This window comes from Homo sapiens, chromosome 6, assembly GCF_000001405.40.
Source record: "Homo sapiens chromosome 6, GRCh38.p14 Primary Assembly".
In the NCBI taxonomy this organism is placed as follows: domain Eukaryota; kingdom Metazoa; phylum Chordata; class Mammalia; order Primates; family Hominidae; genus Homo; species Homo sapiens.
In genome coordinates, this window is record NC_000006.12 from 57,542,823 (window position 1) to 57,561,205 (window position 18,383).

The window sequence follows — 18,383 nt, forward strand, 5'->3', positions numbered from 1 at the left end:
TACTAAATTACAATATTCTCTAATTGAACCATTGTATCTATTTGTTAAGTGATACATACAATTAAAAATATTCTTAAGAGGTATAAAAATTGTTGGCTTAAAATACTGCTTATAGGATTTTTTTTTTTTTTTTTTTGAGACGGAGTCTCGCTGTCGCCCAGGCTGGAGTGCAGTGGCGCAATCTCGGCTCACTGCAGGCTCCGCCCCCTGGGCTTCACGCCATTCTCCTGCCTCAGCCTCCCGAGTAGCTGGGACTACAGGCGCCCGCCACCTCGCCCGGCTAAGTTTTTGTATTTTTAGTAGAGACGGGGTTTCACCGTGTTAGCCAGGATGGTCTCGATCTCCTGACCTCGTGATCCGCCCGCCTCGGCCTCCCAAAGTGCTGGGATTACAGGCGTGAGCCACCGCGCCCGGCCAGGATATTTTTTAGGATGATTATAGAAGATGTTAAACATTTTTTATAGTGCTAATTAAAGGACTTGGGTGTTGAACCCAGCTCGAATGATTTGAAATAACAGCTTCTGTTTGGACAGCTTATGTCCTAACAGTGTAAGAAAAATGATGTGGTAACAGTCAATTTCAACTGGAATTTTTCTGTACTATTGTTTCCCAAATGATCATAATGTCTGATTTCTTTCTCTTAATATTTGTGTCCTCATTGTGACTTATTTGAGATGCATTGCTATGTGAGTCTGAGCAAATATTTTGGGTACTTAGCCAGTACTTTTGAGTCAGCAGAGACTGGTATAATATCTCCAGCAATTTTGAGCTCTAACTCTGCAGCTACAACTACCTTTCCTAGATATACTGCCTGGAACAAAATATTTCTTTACCCTAACTTCTAATGCAGCTCTGTTCTTGAATTGACTGCCTGATCGGTATCTGTCTCTTCCTCCCATCTTTACTTACCTGTGCCTGTTGCAGGCATTTTTTTTTTTAACACTTTGCTTTTAAAACTAATGTTATACTTAATGTTGGAGGGGAATGTGTTGTCTGTATTCTAAAATAATTTACACCTGTATTAGTGTTTGTAACTGTCATCCAAAGTATAAATATTAAAGTATTGTGTCTCTAGATACCTTTTATTAAGGTTAAGCAGTTTTTGTGTTATAATGCACATAATTTCTGTTATAAACATTTTTGAGTAGTAATAATGGATTGTGGAAGCAGCTTAAGGTTCTGATGCCCACTGTTATTTTTTTATTAGGAATTTGATGTTGTAAGAGTTAAAGAAGGAGGAAAGAAACACGAAAAGCAGCTCAACAGTCAAAGACAGGTTTATTTTGGAGAATAAACCTGAGTGGGGCTTCTGGCCGAGTTTGGTCAGTAATGCTGTCTCTTACAGACTGAGAGTATTTATTGGTGAGAGAGCTTGGAATGTTTCTGTGTGGGGGAGAAGTTTATGGCGCGGTTGGAATGTCTCTGGTCGGAGAGGAGATTATGTTGGGGCTGACATCTCTCCAGCTGGAGGGGAGGTTATCTCGGGGCTGGCATGTCTCTGGTCAGGGAGGGGTTTGGCGTGTTTCTGGTCACAGATGTTATTTGTGGTTTATGGTCATGCTGACTTTAGCCATCAAGCTGATGCCCTTTGGATTTAGGAAGTTTTTGATCAACATAAATTTTAAAATGATGGTGCTTGTCCAAGATGGCAATGCTCCTGCTCTGTCAGATGTATTAAGTGAGTCCTATATATGTAAAAATTAGCCATCTGTCTATAAAATGCTTATTCAGAGTTACTAGTTTGGATTATTTTTCTTGCCTTTTGAAACTATTTTCCGGCTAGCATATATATTCCAATAAATGATATTGGTTACTTGCTACCAGATTATGTTCTTTTAATTTTGGGTGCTTATGACTACCTTATATTTATTGCTTATTTATTCATTTATTATCTGTATCCTACAATTAGAATGTAAACTATATAAAAGCAGGTATCTTGTCTTTCTTGTTGCCTGCTGCATGTTCAGGCACCTAGAACAGTGCCTGACTCATAGCAGGCACTCAATAAATGTTTATTGAATAAACTAATACATGGAAATTTCCATATTATTTACATAGAAATAAATTTTCATACATGTTCATAGATATTATTTATTTATATTTTGCTGAATACATGGTAAATTCTACCAAATCTTTAAAGTTTAGCTTTCGATATGAGAAAAAATAATCTTTATCTGTTTTGGTTCTTTTTAGATAGAGCTGTTTCTAACAAGTTATAGAATTTAAGTCATTTTAGTTGCTTTTTTATTTCTAAGAGCAGTAGATCTCAGCATCAGCATCATTTGGGAATATGTTAGAAATATAGATTCCCAGAATCAAATTTGTTGTCGTCCATGTATTTTTCTAAATCAAAATATGGATTGGTAGAATATACAAATATACAAATATTTAACATAGTATCATATTACGATTCTTATAAAAAGTACAGAGAAATATATTTCTGTGTATATGTATATACATAGATACATACATATGTACATATTCCATCTACTTGGCATAGTTCAGCCGATTTTTATTGTGTGTTTATCATGAACATATACCATTCTGAAGATACTGAAATAAAAGAAACAGCCCTTATTTATGAAGACTTTCCAAGACCTTATTTTATTTATTATAATTATTTTTGAGATGGAGTTTCGCTCTTGTTGCCCAGGCTGGAGTGCAGTGGCGTGATCTCAGCTCACCACAACCTCCACCTCCTGGGTTCAAGCTATTCTCCTGCCTCAGCCTTCCAAGTAGCTGGGATTACAGGCATGTGCCACCAGGCCCGGCTAATTTTTTTTGTATTTTTAGTAGAGGTGGGGTTTCTTCATGTTGATCAGGCTGGTCTCGAACTCCCGACCTCAGGTGATCTACCCACCTCGGCCTCCTAAAATGCTGGGATTACATGCATGAGCCACCATGCCTGGCCCCTCCAAGACCTTATTCACGAGAGTCTTCCAAGAGATTTATTTGGAAAAACCAGATAAATACAAATGTACAGACAGAGAAAGAAGGGAATTTCATGTTAAAGGGACAACATTTTAAAGGACCTTAAAGTGTAGTCCATCCTGTAGGTGGTAGGAACCTGAACTGTACCAGTGTAATTGTGGCAAGAGGGGAGTCTGGAGACATAGATCTTTTAGCCTAATTACTAAAGATAGATTGAATTAGTAGGCCAGTAGGAACTGGTCTTGTTGGGTAGGTAGGTGCCAACCAGGATCCTGTCAGCCAGGATAGGGTCAATTGGTAACTGGAATTTAGTCAAATATGTGTAGTTTCACAACTTTGAATATTTACTAAAATAATATAATGAATGTTGGATGCTATGCAGGTTTACTGAAAAGCGGAAAATAGTATGAGTAAAGTTTCCACTTGGTTCAAATTAATTTCGCCTAACTTTGGATTTCTGATTATATAGGCCAACATTGATTTTTAAGAAACTATTTTGCTTTAAAGCAAATTTAAAAATTTTAATCTACTTGGTTATAGTTTAATTGAGAACGAAGGAATTGGAAAACAGTTCCAAAACACGATGGTAAAAAGGAAAGTATTATTAAGGTGATGTGGAGTAAGAAAGTTGTTAGAGTGGATCGTGTTAGAGACCAATCTAGAATTAAGATTTGGAGAAAGTGAATGACATGGGTTAGTCGAGAAAGAAATGAGAGCAAGAATACACAGTGAACAAGGAATGAGGGGAAAGTACACAAAACATCGTTAACTCTTCCATTATTTTCTTTATTTTTATAATTATTTTAATAAAATAATTTTACAGTAATAATTCTTCCATTTATTACTCATTCACTTAGGCTTTTTATTACCTGTTTTTGGGATTGTTGTGGTTTTGACTGTTGTGATTTAAAATTCTCCATTTCCAGACTTTTTGTAATTTACCTTCTCAGTATATTTGAATACTGTTTTATTTAGATGCATATTATACTTGAGGATAGAGATTTCAGTATTAAAACATCAACCATTTCCAAGAGAACATTCCATTGTTGTATGATCTTATAGCAAACCAATTGCTTTTCACAGCATACCTTACTCCAAAAAACATTGGTTTCATAATGTAGGGTTTTTATTCTTAAATTGTTGAATTTGAATATTGATATATTTAAAATGTTAAAATAAAGCTCTTTGAGTTAACGCTTGTCAGTGAAGGATGGAGAAATTTGAAAATTGCACTTAGGTTGCTGAATCAGATTTTTTGGATTTGTGAATGATTCACAAGAAGTATTTAAAGTTTTGAACGTCTTATTCCTTAAATAATTTCCTGTATTTCTGAAATAAATGCACCTATGCTTTATACAAATAAAATTTAATTAGTCAGAGTAAAGTTTTTCATGTTTTTCTTAGTTGTAATTATAATTTACAAGCCTGTCTACCTGAAAAAAGCATCACCCTGGGTGCAAGAGATATAAAATCAAACCTTTATTTATTTATTTTTTATTTTTAAAATTTCAACTTTTATTTTAGATATAGGGGGTACATGTGCAGGTTTGTTACCTGAGTATATTTTGTGCTGCGACGTCATCTCCCAGATAGTGAGCATAGTACCCAATAGGTAGTTTTTCAGTCCATCCTCCCTTCCACTTCTAGTAGTCCTCCGTGTCTATTGGTCCTATCTCTATGTCTGTGGGTGCTCGATGTTTAGCTCCCACTTATACGTGACAGCATGCACAAACCTCTATTTAAAGTATGAATACCATGAAAATATTCTTTTACTTGGCACTTGGATATTAAATCACTTCGGCGACTAGCTTTGTTAAGTATTACATTGAACTGGATAATTCTTCTAATAAATTCAAAGCATGTGTCCTGTCAGATTGCTCATAGTGTTGTTATTCTGAATTGCTTTAAGCTGGTTTTATTGGATATTAAGTACAACATTGATAATGCACATTTTCTGTAGCTGTGGTTTCTGTCCTTGATGACAGCATGCTTAAGGTCTATTATATGTTGTTATAATTGGGTCAAGGAACATTTAGCACTGTTTTCTTCCAGAATCTAGCTTGCGTCAAGACTAAGAACAAACTTGTGTTGTTAAAAATTGACTACTGAAGGATTAAATATTTGGCTGGTGGGATGTGAGTATATGAAACATTTATTGTTAGGATTTTTTATTTCAGAGACCAGTAGATCTCAGCATCAGCATCATTTGGGAATTTGTTAGAAATGTGGAATCTCAGAATCAAGTTCTGGGGTCAGGGCCCACAATTGGTGGTTTAACAAATCATCCAGATGAAATTGATGCACACTAAAGATTCAGAACCACTGTTTTAACTACTACCCTGTCATAGTCCATTTTCTAGTGCTTATCACAGAATATCTGAAAGTGGGTAATTTATAAAGAAGAGAAATTTATTTCTTCTAGTTATGACTGAGGAGTCCCAGGTCATGGGGCTGCATCTGTTGAGAGCCTCCTTACTTGTGGGGACTCTCTGAGAAGTGCCAAAGTTAGAGCAGGAGTGCCAAAAGTTAGAGCAGGAACCAGATTTCCTGGTCTTAGCATACAAGAAAATGGAGGCGATGGGAATAGAGTGTGCGTTTCTAAAGTTTAAGAAGTCAGGAAGGAAAGAAATAGAGCATACTAGGTACAGAGGGTGACTGTGCCAAGCAAGGTTTTCAAGTTGGGGTGGGCAGGAGCAGTAAAACTCATGGAAATGGAGGATGTGCTGAGAATACTTGAGGAAACAAGGCCTGAGGAGATGGAAAGAGAATTTAAAACATTTATCTATTATGTGATTATTATAATATGAACCTCTGTTTCCTATGTGATGTTCCCTGAGTGTAGAATTTGTTTCTTTCTTACTGTGATATACCCAGCACTTGAGATGGTACTGACAGATTGTATATGCTTAGTAAAATTTGTTGAATGACTGAAAGAATTGCATTGGGAGTTTAGTTTATCTCACACCTGATGGATATATGAAAAATTATGAATTGGTAAAGGAGTGTTTAAAAGTAGAAAGAAGAGCTGTGGGAGCTCACATCCACTGCTCATCTTTCCAATAAAGTAGGCAGGGGAATTGCTTACCAGAAGGATTTGGCGTATTTAGGGCTTAAAGAAAGTTGAAGAGTCTAGAATAACACCTTCCATAAGTGTGCTAAGGCATTAACTAATAAAAAAAAAAAAGATTGCTAAGCTACAGAATGGTTACAGTTTGAGTTCCTAGCATATGCTAGGCTCTATAACTAATATTCTACATACACAATTTTATGGAATCCTTAAAACCATCTTAGGAGATAAGTATTATTTATGTCGAGTTTACTAATGAAAAAACAGTACTAGGCTATAAATTTGTAACTGGCTAAGCCAGCACTATTATGTTGCTTTCTCTAGCAGTGTCTTATGGCCTTAGAGCAAAAGCAGAGATGGCATAAGGTAAAATTTATTCAGGTTTAGGGGTTAGCAAAGCAGGCATGCTGCTTTAAATTCTTCCTATGTTTTCTGTTTAATTTAATCTCACACCACCACCATGAGGTAAATATTATCTTCGTTCGATGGAGAGTTTAATGTGTTTTCCTCAGGCAGCAAAGGTGGCACATGATCAAACCTGGGTTAGACCCAGGTCTATTTTATTCCAAACCCTGAACTTCCCCCAGTACTCGCAGAAGGAAGACTAGACTTAGTGTTTAGGTTGACACTGATAATGATAACTATGTAAACTTTAGAGAACACAATTAACAATAGAGATTTTTCAGTTCTTGAGGACAATAGTAATGTCTGCTAAAATATTGCAAAGAATTAAGTATATATGTGAAATACTATGTAATCTATAATGTACTAAAGAAATATTGAATAATTTTAAAATGTTGATAAAGGGGTTATTCTATATCATTCACATTTTCTCAATATATTTGTAAACTTGTTAACTTCTAGACACAAATATTAGTTTTCTAATTGCCTATGTTTTGGTTTTTCTTTCAAAGAAAAGCTTGTTTTGTTTGAATGTTCGTGTTAGTGAGATCCTAGGAAAGTAATTTGAATGTAATGAAAAAAATAGTTTCTTATGGCTCACGCCTGTAATCCCAGCACTTTGGGAGGCCGAGGCGGGCAGATGACCTGAGGTCGGGAGTTTGAGACCAGCCTGACCAACATGGAGAAACCCTGTCTCTACTAAAAAGACAAAATTAGCCAGGTATGCTGGTACATACCTGTAATCCCAGCTACTCGGGAGGCTGAGGCAGGAGAATTGCTTGAACCCAGGAGGTGGAGGTTGTGGTGAGCTGAGATCTCACCATTGCACTCCAGCCTGGGCAACAAGAGCGAAACTCCGTGTCCCCCCTAAACCCCCCTCAAAAAAAAGTTTCTTGCAAAAATAGTCTAATCTTTGTCATTATTATTTTTGGGCAGCAATTTTAAAGGTACTCTTAACAGCTACAAAGTCATCTAAAACATATTTTTGAAGCTTTATTGCAGTGAAATTTGTTATATTCTCTCTTATAAATATTTTGGTGTATAATAAAGATATGTGTATGTTAAGGGTTTAATTCTTCTCTTGATGCTTTCCATAGCATGTGGAATACCAATTCTAGATTATACAGTATAAGAATTAATATTTAAACATTGACTTGAACAGGTTGGGCTTGCTTTCATGAATTGTCAAGAGGCTAGCTAGTCAAAATTCAAATTAAATTATGTATTGGGTTAAGTCTATCATTAGAATAAAACAGGTGTTATTATCCTTCTCCTAACACTATTCTGGCAAAAATTAGCTTTAGTAAATTTAATTGCTCTTGATGTTGTACTCCAAATACTTTTTAATTCTTAAATTATGGAAATAAGATAAAAAATAGAAGACTTCAACTCTGTTATTCATTTATAAATGTCATTTTGCCAGTGATACCTTATGGATTATGCTGATATATTAAAATGAGATTAAAAAAATAAAATGACATTTTATTCAACATTTTAAAAGGTGGGTCAAATTTTTGTTGCTAATATATGTGGTACTCTTAGGGGAAAATGACAATAAAATATGTATCTTCTTAAAAAGATGCCAGTTTAAGATATCAAGAGTATGTTTTAATTGGCCATGTCTCTGGACAAATTGGGTACGTATAAGCTCCAAAATGGGTCAGACTTCTGATACTGAAGGATTTTTCTTTGGAAGATTTATTAATATTAGGAATCTCAGGGGCTTGAAGTGTGGGGCAAGTATATTCTTGGCTTTCTTTAACAACCTGTTGTGTGTTTGTCACCCATCTTTTGCCTGTAAATCTTTGTTGAATTTATTATTTTGTTTTTACTTAAAAAATTACTTTGAACCATCTTTCCAGTTTGTTTACTTCTATGTAAAGTAGGATTTTATTTTATTTAAAAAATAACCAGACAGTTATTTTGCACCTGCCTGTGTGCATTACTCTTTATAGTAAGAGAATATATAAGTTTAAACTGTTGTGGGGACCCAGAGAATGGTTGTGCTTTAATAGTGCGATTGTTGTTGTTGTATGCAGCTCAATCAGAAAAGCAGGAATCCTAATCAGGAAAGGGCTAGAGGGATGTTTACTCAAGGGGAAATCTAGATGGTTACTGTTCTGTATTGATAAGAATGTCACCTGTTAAGTGAAGTCAGCCTTTTAATTCAGAATAAGTTCAGAGAAGGAGACACAAAAACTCAGATTTAAAAAATTTGAATGGTAAGGATGATATTGATTAGGCACCCTAAGAAGTAGATTGCTTTTCGACTTTGATCCCAGAATAAGCTTGTCATTTTCTTTTGTACTATCTCAGACATAACCTGCCTTTTCCTAGGGGACTGTTTAAAGAGTGTATTTTGTTCATCCATTCAACAAACATTGAGTATCTACTATGTCCCAGGTGGTCTTCTAGCTACTAGAGGTATAGCAGCAGTGAACAATATAGAAAAAAAAAAAATTAAAACTCTGGAGCTTACATTCTGGTTGAGGAGAGACAGTAAACAAGTAAGTGAATTATTGATATATTACTTGGTGATTACTGCTATGAAGAAATTTTTTCATGAAGAAGATAGGGAATGCTGTTTAGTGCCTGGATGTGGTTTTAAATAGGGTGGTCATGGAAGGCTTAAACAAAAACATGATGTTTTGCCACAACGTAAGTTTTATGTAAGAACTCTAGGCTTGGCATTTTTCTTGTCATATCTTAGTGGGATATGAATAGCAGGTCTGAGTGTTCACCATTTTACAATGAAGAAACTCGAGGCAAAGAGAACTGTCCAAGTGTACTCAGAATTAACAGACACTGGATCTTAAAACCTTTCGATATGATTTCAGTCTGTGGAGGTTTGAGCTGTAATGCAGCCAGATTTAGCTAAAAAGTCAGTGGGTTCGGGGAAGACCAGCAGGAGGCAGTGGAGCACCAGCACAAGCTGAGGCCAACTCCCATTGGTGAGGCTTGGGCAAATGTAGCTTAAGTCAGGTGAGAAGCACTGGCTTGGTGGCCTGGGCTTACATGAGGCCTACACTAAGCTCACTGCGTCTCTGCTCTCAGTGAGGAAGGTGGTTTCAGACCCTTCATTTTGGAGGGGCTGTCATTTAAAACAAGGTACCAGGCTCTGTCTGTGACTCTAGGACTGATAAGGCAGATTTCCTTGCTCTCAAGTCTTTGATCCCTGTAGCCTACCTACTAGGATTGAGTAAAGCAACACTGTCTTAATCATGCCTAGGCTCAAGGATCTTGTGATTTAGTCAAGTTCTTAGAGAGGGGAAAAGGATTTTCTACTAAAATCTCAAAAGAATTCCTATATTTTAATCCCCCACTGGAAAGATACTCCAGAGGGAAATGAATGATGTCTACCATAAGGTGTGTGAGTCTTGGGCACAATTAATCTTTTTACCTACTATATGCTTTAGTTTGTCTCCACATCTTTGGACCTCAAGGCCTTTTATTTCAACCTCTCATTTCCTTTTCCTTTGCCTTGGTTGAGACATTTTTTTTTAGCTCTCCAGTTGCATTCCTGTATGCCATCCTTACCCTTTGAATTTTCATGTAAGCCTCAAAAAAACAAATATTTCTACATAGTTTCTCTCCACCTATCTTTTCTGCCCCTTCCTTTGGCAGTTTTTAGACTTTTTTTTGTACGAAGAAACCCCTTGTTTTCCGTAGTCTTTCAAAACAACACTGTGATGAACATTCATCTCAGATTTTCTCCACTGTAATATTTAAAAATTGCAAATAAATTGTATTTTATTCTATTAGATTTAGACAGTGTACTCAAAAACAAAATGTTTGTCAGAATGAGTAAATATGAAACAATACCATTGTCACTAGCTTAAATAGTGGTTAAGTGATATTGTTCAGTAAATCCATATGTAAGGATAAAGTCAGAATGGTAAAAGCTTGACATTTCACAGGAAATGTGTGGATTAAAGGGATTTTTATTTGTTTAAATATAGTCGCTTTGTAATTTAGATAGAATAATACTGTTAAACCAATTTGAAGATAAGGTGTGCTTTCTATGTTGATGTTTTTAGGTTATATTATAATTTGATGTCTCTTTACCAACAAAGGAAAGATATACATATATAGATTAATTCTCTTGGATATGAGTTTTATCACAATAATGCTTTTATTTCTACCTTTAGTTTTAAAAATACTTAAAATTGCCTCTTGAAAAATCTATATTTAAAAAAACATGAATCCAGGACATAGTCATTTTAATTAGTGTATTTGAATATAATGTTCACTAATGAGAATGATCTCAAGGTAATTCAAGAAGAGATCATGAAGTCTTTGTTTTTCTAGGAAATTTCCAATTTTTTTCTGTCTTTAAAGGTGGACTTATTTTTAAAGGTGGACTCTTTTTTTTGCCAACATTGCATGCACTTTCGTTGCCCTTCTTGTTTCCTGTTATGCTTGCTGTAACTCACTGTGTAAACCTTGAGGCTCCATTACTTGCTCTGAGGTTTGGTATCCTATTCTTTAGTTATATTGCGACTGCAGAAACACTGCAGTGTGGTCTTTAGAGTTTCAAGGGTGTCATAGTACTTAAGGCTACTTTTTGTCCTCCTTTTTTGCTTCCTTATTCCTTGCAAAGCTTTGCCTTGGCCACATGTGAGTTCAAGTAGTATGTTTCCACAGTTTCTAAATTCTTACTCTAAGGAATTAGGGACAAGATGATTTCCCCAAATCATCCCTATCCCATGTATGGGCCTTCTAGGAATAGTACCATAAAAATCTGTCTTTATTAATAGGTCCTTTCTGACAAATCAACACTTAAACATTATTTTAACACAATTTTATGATGATGATTATCTGCTACAGTTTTACGTATTTTAATCATTAACTTATTGATTGTGCCTTGAGGCCTCTTACATAAAGGATGCAATTTGAATAATGCCTTGGTAAAACCATTTAATCTCTGTTTACAACTATATTATGTTTCATCCCAAACAGTAATGATGACTCCTTTCTATGGATAACATGGCACATATTGTTTACATGTAAATGTTGTTTTAAAAGCTATATTTTGTTAGACTTAGATTTTCACATTCAAGATCATTCCTAAAGCTTTATGTGATTTTTTAAAAGATAATTTTAATCTACCTATAGTGTGTATAAATTTATTACCTAGAGAAAAGGAAGAAATTATACTGTCTGATAGGGGAGAGAATTCTGAATAATTAAGGGGCAACTAGTTGGAATTAATTTTAGTACACTAGGGATGAACTAGATTTAGTTTAAGCCTCTGTTGATAAGAGCTCTAGAATCCTTTCTGTTTATCACAGAAGGCCCAGCCCTGTGTTAATCCTTTCCTGAGCACCTTAGCCAGCAGTGACTAACAACTCTTTCAATCTCCACTAAATTTTAAGTGTCTAAATAGCAGGGATTCTATCTTAAAGTTTTTATGTTCTCCCCACCCATCTCTTGCATAGGAAAGAATGCTCTGCACCTAGTCTTTTCTTAGTATATATTCGTTGGCCGAAAATGGACCTTAAGTGTGTTAAGCCATTAGTTTTCTCTTTGAAAAATTGAAGGATATGCTACTTCATGGTTTTTTCCTTCATATTTAAATCTTGCTGTTGTCGTAAAGACAGACTTTTCATTTAAAAAGTATAATTGCTAAGGAATGTGTTTTCGTTCTTTCAGGGAACCCTTCCAGCCAGATCATTTGCTTTTCTGACTGTTGAGTATAGATAGGCTTGTCCTTAGAGAAAGCAGACTGTGAGTGCCACAGTGAATGCCTTGTATTATTTTCTCTTTACAAAGATAAACCAAAGTTCTAAAAGAGCACATTGTCTGCTTTATTTGTAGGGAAAGAATGTGTATCAAAAGGGGATATAATATTTTGTTGATAGAGACAAATGGACTAAAAAATAATGTTATTTCTCTTTGAAACATTTAACATTTTAAGTGGCTTTTTGAGAAGATGGCTGATTTAAAGTAAACTTGCTATCCTTTGGCATGGTTGAGCCATTTAAAATAATTTGTTAGAGTGGGGAATGCTAACCTTTATTAAGTCCTGCAGTATGTCTGGCACTTTGTGTAAATATTGTATCTATTTATTTATTTGAGACAGAGTCTTGCTCTGTCATCCAGGCGGGAGCGCAGTGACATGATCTTGGCTCACTGCAAGCTCCACCTCCCAGCTATGAGCGATTCTCCTGCTTCAGCCTCCCAAGTACCTGGGACTATAGTTGTGCACCACCACGTCTGGCTAATTTTTGTATTTTTAGTAGAGACAGAGTTTTACTATGTTGGCCAGGCTTGTCTGGAACTCCTGACCTCAAGTGATCCACCCGCCTCGGCCTCCCAAAGTGCTGGGATTATAGGCGTGAGCCACCGTGCCTGGCCTACCTTGTATAAATATTCTTATTTAAGCTTTAGAAATTCACCATATAAAAATAGGTATAATTACCTGGATTTTGCAAAGAAGCACCCTGAAGATCAGTGAGTTTACTGCTAGGTAGAAGCTCTGGGATTCACATGATTTTTCTGTTCATTGGATGGGCCATACCACAAACACTAGATAAGCTTTATGACATTGTCTTCTTCCTTTAGAAAAATGAAAAATAAAAACAAAATATTGAAAGGAACAGAGAACTAGACATTGCTGAACACCTGGCTAAATTAATTATTCTACTTGAGCCCTAACTTTAGCCAAGGGGGATAGAAAAAGTCCGTGATTCTCATTTTTGGAAAGAAATATAATTTTCTTGGACAAGAAGAGCTTTTATTTTCATATTTATTAAACTCTGTCTGTATACTAATGTTTTAAGGACTGTCAGTAATCAGGAACACAATGCCACCATTCACAATTGCCATAATAAGAATAACATACTTAGGAATACAGCTAACAAGAGAGGGGAATGAGCTCTACAATGAGAATTAGAAAATACTGCTCAAAGAAATCAGAGATGACACAAACAAATGGAAAAACATCCCATACTCACAGATAGGAAAAATCAGTATCATTAAAATGGCCATTCTGCCCAAAGTAATTTATAGATTCAATGCTATTCCTATCCAACTACCAATGACATTCTTCACAGAACTAGAAAAACTATTTTAAAATTCGTATGGAACCAAAAAGGCCTTAGTAGCCAAAGCAATCCTAAGCAAAAAGAACAAAGCTGGAGGCATCATGTTATCTGACTTCAAACTATACTACAGGGCTACAGTAACCAAAACAACATGGTACTGGTACAAAAACAGACATAGACCAATGGAACAGAATAGAAAGCCCAGAAATAAGGCTGCACACCTACGACCATCTGATCTTCAACAAAGCCGACAAAAGCAATGGGGAAAAGGACTGCCTATTCAACAAGTAGTGCTGGGATAACTGACTAGCCATATGTAGAAGATTGAAACTGGACCCTTTCCTTACACCATATAAAAAAATCAACTCAAGATGGATTAAAGACTTAAATGTTAAACCCAAAACACTACAAACCCTAGAAGACAACCTAGACAGTACCATCCTGGACATTAGAAATGGACAAAGATTTCATGACAAAGATACCAGAAGCAATTGCAACAAAAGCAAATAGGATCTAATTAAACTTAAGAGCTTCTGCACAGCAAAAGAAACTATCAACAGAGTAAACAGACAACCTACCAAATGGGAGAAAATATTTGCCAACTGTGCATCTGACAAAGGTCTAATATCCAGCATCTATAAGGAACTTAAATTTAAAAGAAAAACAAAAAAAAGTCCATTAAAAAGTAGGCTAAGGACATGAACAGATACTTTTCTAAAGAAGACATACATGTGGCCAACAAGCATAGGAGAAAAAGCTTAGTATCACTGATCATTAGAGAAATGCAAATCAAAACCACAGTGAGATACCATCTCATACCAGTCAGAATGGCTATTATTAAAAAGTCAAAAAATAATAGATGCTGGTGAGGTTGTGGAGAAAAGGGAACACATACACTGTTGGTGGGAGTGTAAATTAGTTCAACCATTGTGGAAAGCAGTATGGCAATTCCTCAAAGAGCTAAATACAGAACTACCATTCGACCCAGCAATGCTATTACCGAGTATAAGAGGAATATAAATCATTCTACCATAAAGACATATGCACGCGAATGTTCATTGCAGCACTATTCACAATAGCAAAGACATGGAATCACCCTAAGTGCCCATCAGTGACAGATTGGGTAAAGACAATGTGGTACACATATACCATGGAATACTCTTCAGCCATAAAAAAGAACAAGATCTTGTCTTTTGCAGGAACATGGATGGAGCTGGAGGCCATTATCCTTAGCAAACTAATGCAGGAACAGAAAATCAAATGCTGCACATTCTCATTTATAAGTGGGAGTTAAATGATGAGAACTCATGAGCATAGAGAAGGGAACAACAGACACTGGAGCTTCCTTGAGGGTGGAGGGTGGGAGGAAGGAGAGGAGCAGAAAAAAATAACTATTGGGTACTAAGCTTAGTACGTGGGTGATGAAATATCTATACACCAAACTGCTATGATGTGAGTTTACCTATATAACAAACCTGCACATATCCCCCAAACTTAAAAGTTAAAAAAAAAAAAGAAAAAGATATGACTTTTGACCTCAGGGAACATAGTCTATACTAGACTGTTATAACTTGTATTTTAATATAACTATTGAATTGCCTTGCAAATAATAATAACCTCTTTGGAGACAGATACCACATTTTGTTAGGTTTAAATTCAAGTAAGTATTGGATATTTAGAAATATTTCACAAAACTTAATAAATAAATAGACATTAGTCTCCTGAGAGGGAAGTTCTCTTGTTTTGGAAGGCACTGTGGTGTGGCGGGGAGAATGTAGACTTTGGAATCAAACCAGAGCCCAGACCTATTTGCCAGTTATTTGCCATGTGACTTTGGTTAAGTCAGCCTCTCTGGACTTAGTTTTCTCATCTTTCAAATAAGGATAGTGATGGGATTGATATGAAGGTTACGTATGATAATAACCCTTAGTATTGTGCTTATTAGCACAGTGTCTGATACATAGCAAATGATCAATAAAATGCCCTCCCCTAAGTTCTTATTTAATATGACGTAGAAAGTAGTAAGCATAGTAGGAGGACAAGCTCAAGAGTAAGATATATCTACCTAGGAGACTCAGAGAGGGCTTCATGGACAAATTGATATTTGAATTGAACCCTGAAGGATGGTAAGATTTGGACATACAGAATTGGGATGCATGAATATTTTATGATCCATGAAGTATTCATATAAAGGTTGTTGGTAACATAATAAAGGACCTTTTAAACCATGGTTTGGCTAAACACATAGAACCATTACTCAAGTGGAGAGTCTTACACTGAACCTTTGTAAAAGCTGAGAGCATGTTATTAAGTTTCAGTTAAAGTATTCCTGCTGGATGCTGAGAAATTACAGGTTGGTTTTATTGCTGTCTTCTGATCTTTATCTTTCTTAATATATATATATAGAAGTTAGAAAATATATATGGCAGTTCCTTGATACACGTGTTTTTATTTCTTTTAAAATGTCAGATGTCCAAAGCAAGTTGGTTGAGGGTGCTGAGCTCTTTTCAGGGTTCAGTTTTCTAATCAATGCCAAGATGCTAACTTTTAGGTAGTCATTAACGAGATACATTTTGGGGCTGGGCACGGTGGCTCACACCTATAATCTCAGTGCTGTGGGTGGCCAAGGTGGGAAGATCACTTGAGCCCAGGAGCTCAAGACCAGCCTAGGCAACACAGCAAGACTCCCTCTCTCCAAAAAAATAAAAAAATTAGCTGGTGATACAGGTGTGGTGATACACACCTGTAGTCTCAGCTATTTGGGAGGCTGAGATGGGATTGAGCCCAGGAGTTCAAGGTTACAGTGAGCCATGAGCATGCCACTTTACTCTAGCCTGGGAGATAGAGTGACACCCTGCGTCTTAAAGAAAAAAAAAAAAAAAGTTTTGGGCTTTGAGGTGATACAAAGATATAAGATCAGTGCCTCTCAAACTTTTTATGTTTGTCATACATTTTTTGAATATTTGAATTTTTGGTAGCATGCTTAAAGTGTCTAAGTTGAATCCATGGAAGTTATTATGGCAGAAATCACTTGGGTCACCCTTCAGCACTGTGTCATCATACAAGCAGAACTGTTGACTGCCCTGACTTCAGTGTTTACCTGTTCTAGTGAATTTTTGCAGTCTTTTTTTGGCTTTACCTTGTACTTCTTATCTGCAGCTAGTTATGCCTTTCTCAAAATTGTATCTAAGGGCCTACTCAGGTCAAGGTTCCATCTGACTGATTTCACAATAAACATCTTTCCTCATTTTCAGCAAAGATAAATTTACTTGCTGATTTAAAATAATTGAAGAATTGGTTTAGAATAGTACATAGGATACTTGACGGGATAGATCCTAGACAACATAGATGTAGGTATTTAACATCGCTAAGGTGGTACTGGCATACCTAGAAGATATTGCAGGTTTTGTTCCAGACCACCACAATAAAATTTAAATAAAGGAAGTCACACAATTTGCTTTCCCAGTGCATATAAAACTCATATGTATACTACACTGCAGTCTATTAAGTGTGCAATAGCATTATATCTAGAAAAACAATGTAGACACCTTTATTTAAAAATACATTTTTTGTTACTAAAAATGGTAATGATCATTTGAGCCTTTGGTGAGTTGTAATCTTTTTGCTGGTGGAGGGTCTTGCCTTGATGTTGATGGCTGCTGACTGATCAAGGTGGTAGTTGCTGAAGATTGGAGTGGCTCTTACAATTTCTTAAAATAAGACAGCCATGAAGTTTGCTGCATTGATTGACGTTTCCTTTCATAAAAGATTTCTTTGTGGCATGCAGTGCTGTTTGATAGCATTTTACCTGTAACAGAACTTCTTTGAGTATTGCAGTCTATCCTCTCAACCCTGATGCTGTTTATAAGTTAAGTGTATGTAATAACCTAAATCTTTTGTTGTCATTTCAACAGTGTTCACAGCATCTTCACCAGGAATAGTTTCCATCAGGAATAGAAACCACCTTCTTTGCTCATCCATGAGAAGCAACTCTTTATCCACTAAAAAGTTTTATCATGATGTTGCAGCAGTCAGCTCATCTTTAGGCTCCACTTCTAATTCTAGTTCTCTTGATATTTCCACTGCATCTGCAGTGACTTCCTTTCCTGAAGTCTTGAACCCCTCAAAGTCATCCGTGAAGGTTGGAAATCAACTTATTCCAAACTCCTGTTAATGTTGATATTTTGATCTCTTCCCAAGAGTCACAAATATTCTTAATGACATTTAGAATGGTGAATTCTTTCCAGGTTTTCCATTTACTTTGCCTAGATCCATCAGAGGAATCACAATCTATGGCAATGATATCCTAATTAAATATATTTTTAAAATAATAAGACTTGGAAGTCAATATTATTCCTTGATCCATGGGCAGCAGAATGGATGTTGTGTTAACAAGCATGAAAACATTAATCTTATCATACATCTCCATCAAAGCACTTGGGTGACTAGGTGCATTGTCATGAAGCAGTAATATTTTGTAAGGAATCCTTTTATCTGAGCACTAAGTCTCAATAGTGGGCTTAACTGTTCAGTAAACTCTGCTATAAACAGATATGCTGTTACCCACATTTTGCTGTTCCATTTAGAGGTCACAGGCAGAGTAGAGTTAGCATAATTCGTAAGGGCCCTAGGATTTTCAGAATGCTAAATTGTCTTTTACTTCAAGCTACCAGTTGCTATAGCCCCTAACAAGAAAGTTAGGGGCTAATTTGAACCCAGGCATTGACTTCTCCTTTCTAGCTATGAAAGTCCTAGATGACATCTTCTTCCAATATAAGGCTGTTTTATTCACATTGAAAATGTGTTGTTTAGTATAGCCACCTTTGTCATCTTAGCTAGTTCTTCTGGATAACTTGCTGCAGCTTCTCCATCAGCTCTTGCCGCTTCACCTTGTACTTTTATATCATGGAGATAGCTTCTTTCCTTAAATCTCATAA

The 18,383-nt window shown here is 36.0% G+C and overlaps 1 protein-coding gene across 7 annotated transcripts in view; it reads left to right on the forward strand.

Annotated features, from left to right (window-relative positions):
- The window catches only part of PRIM2 (DNA primase subunit 2), a 425,311-nt gene that overhangs the window by 321,283 nt on the left and 85,645 nt on the right, over nt 1-18,383 (forward strand). The window contains exon 11 of one of the 7 annotated variants that reach the window (XM_047418989.1): nt 1,208-8,899. The exons of the other annotated variants lie outside the window; for them this stretch is intronic. Coding sequence (XP_047274945.1) covers nt 1,208-1,294 — 87 coding nt within the window. The 3' untranslated portion in view covers nt 1,295-8,899. Of the gene's footprint in view, nt 1-1,207; nt 8,900-18,383 lie in introns of those variants that run through there. 7 annotated transcript variants of the gene reach the window in all.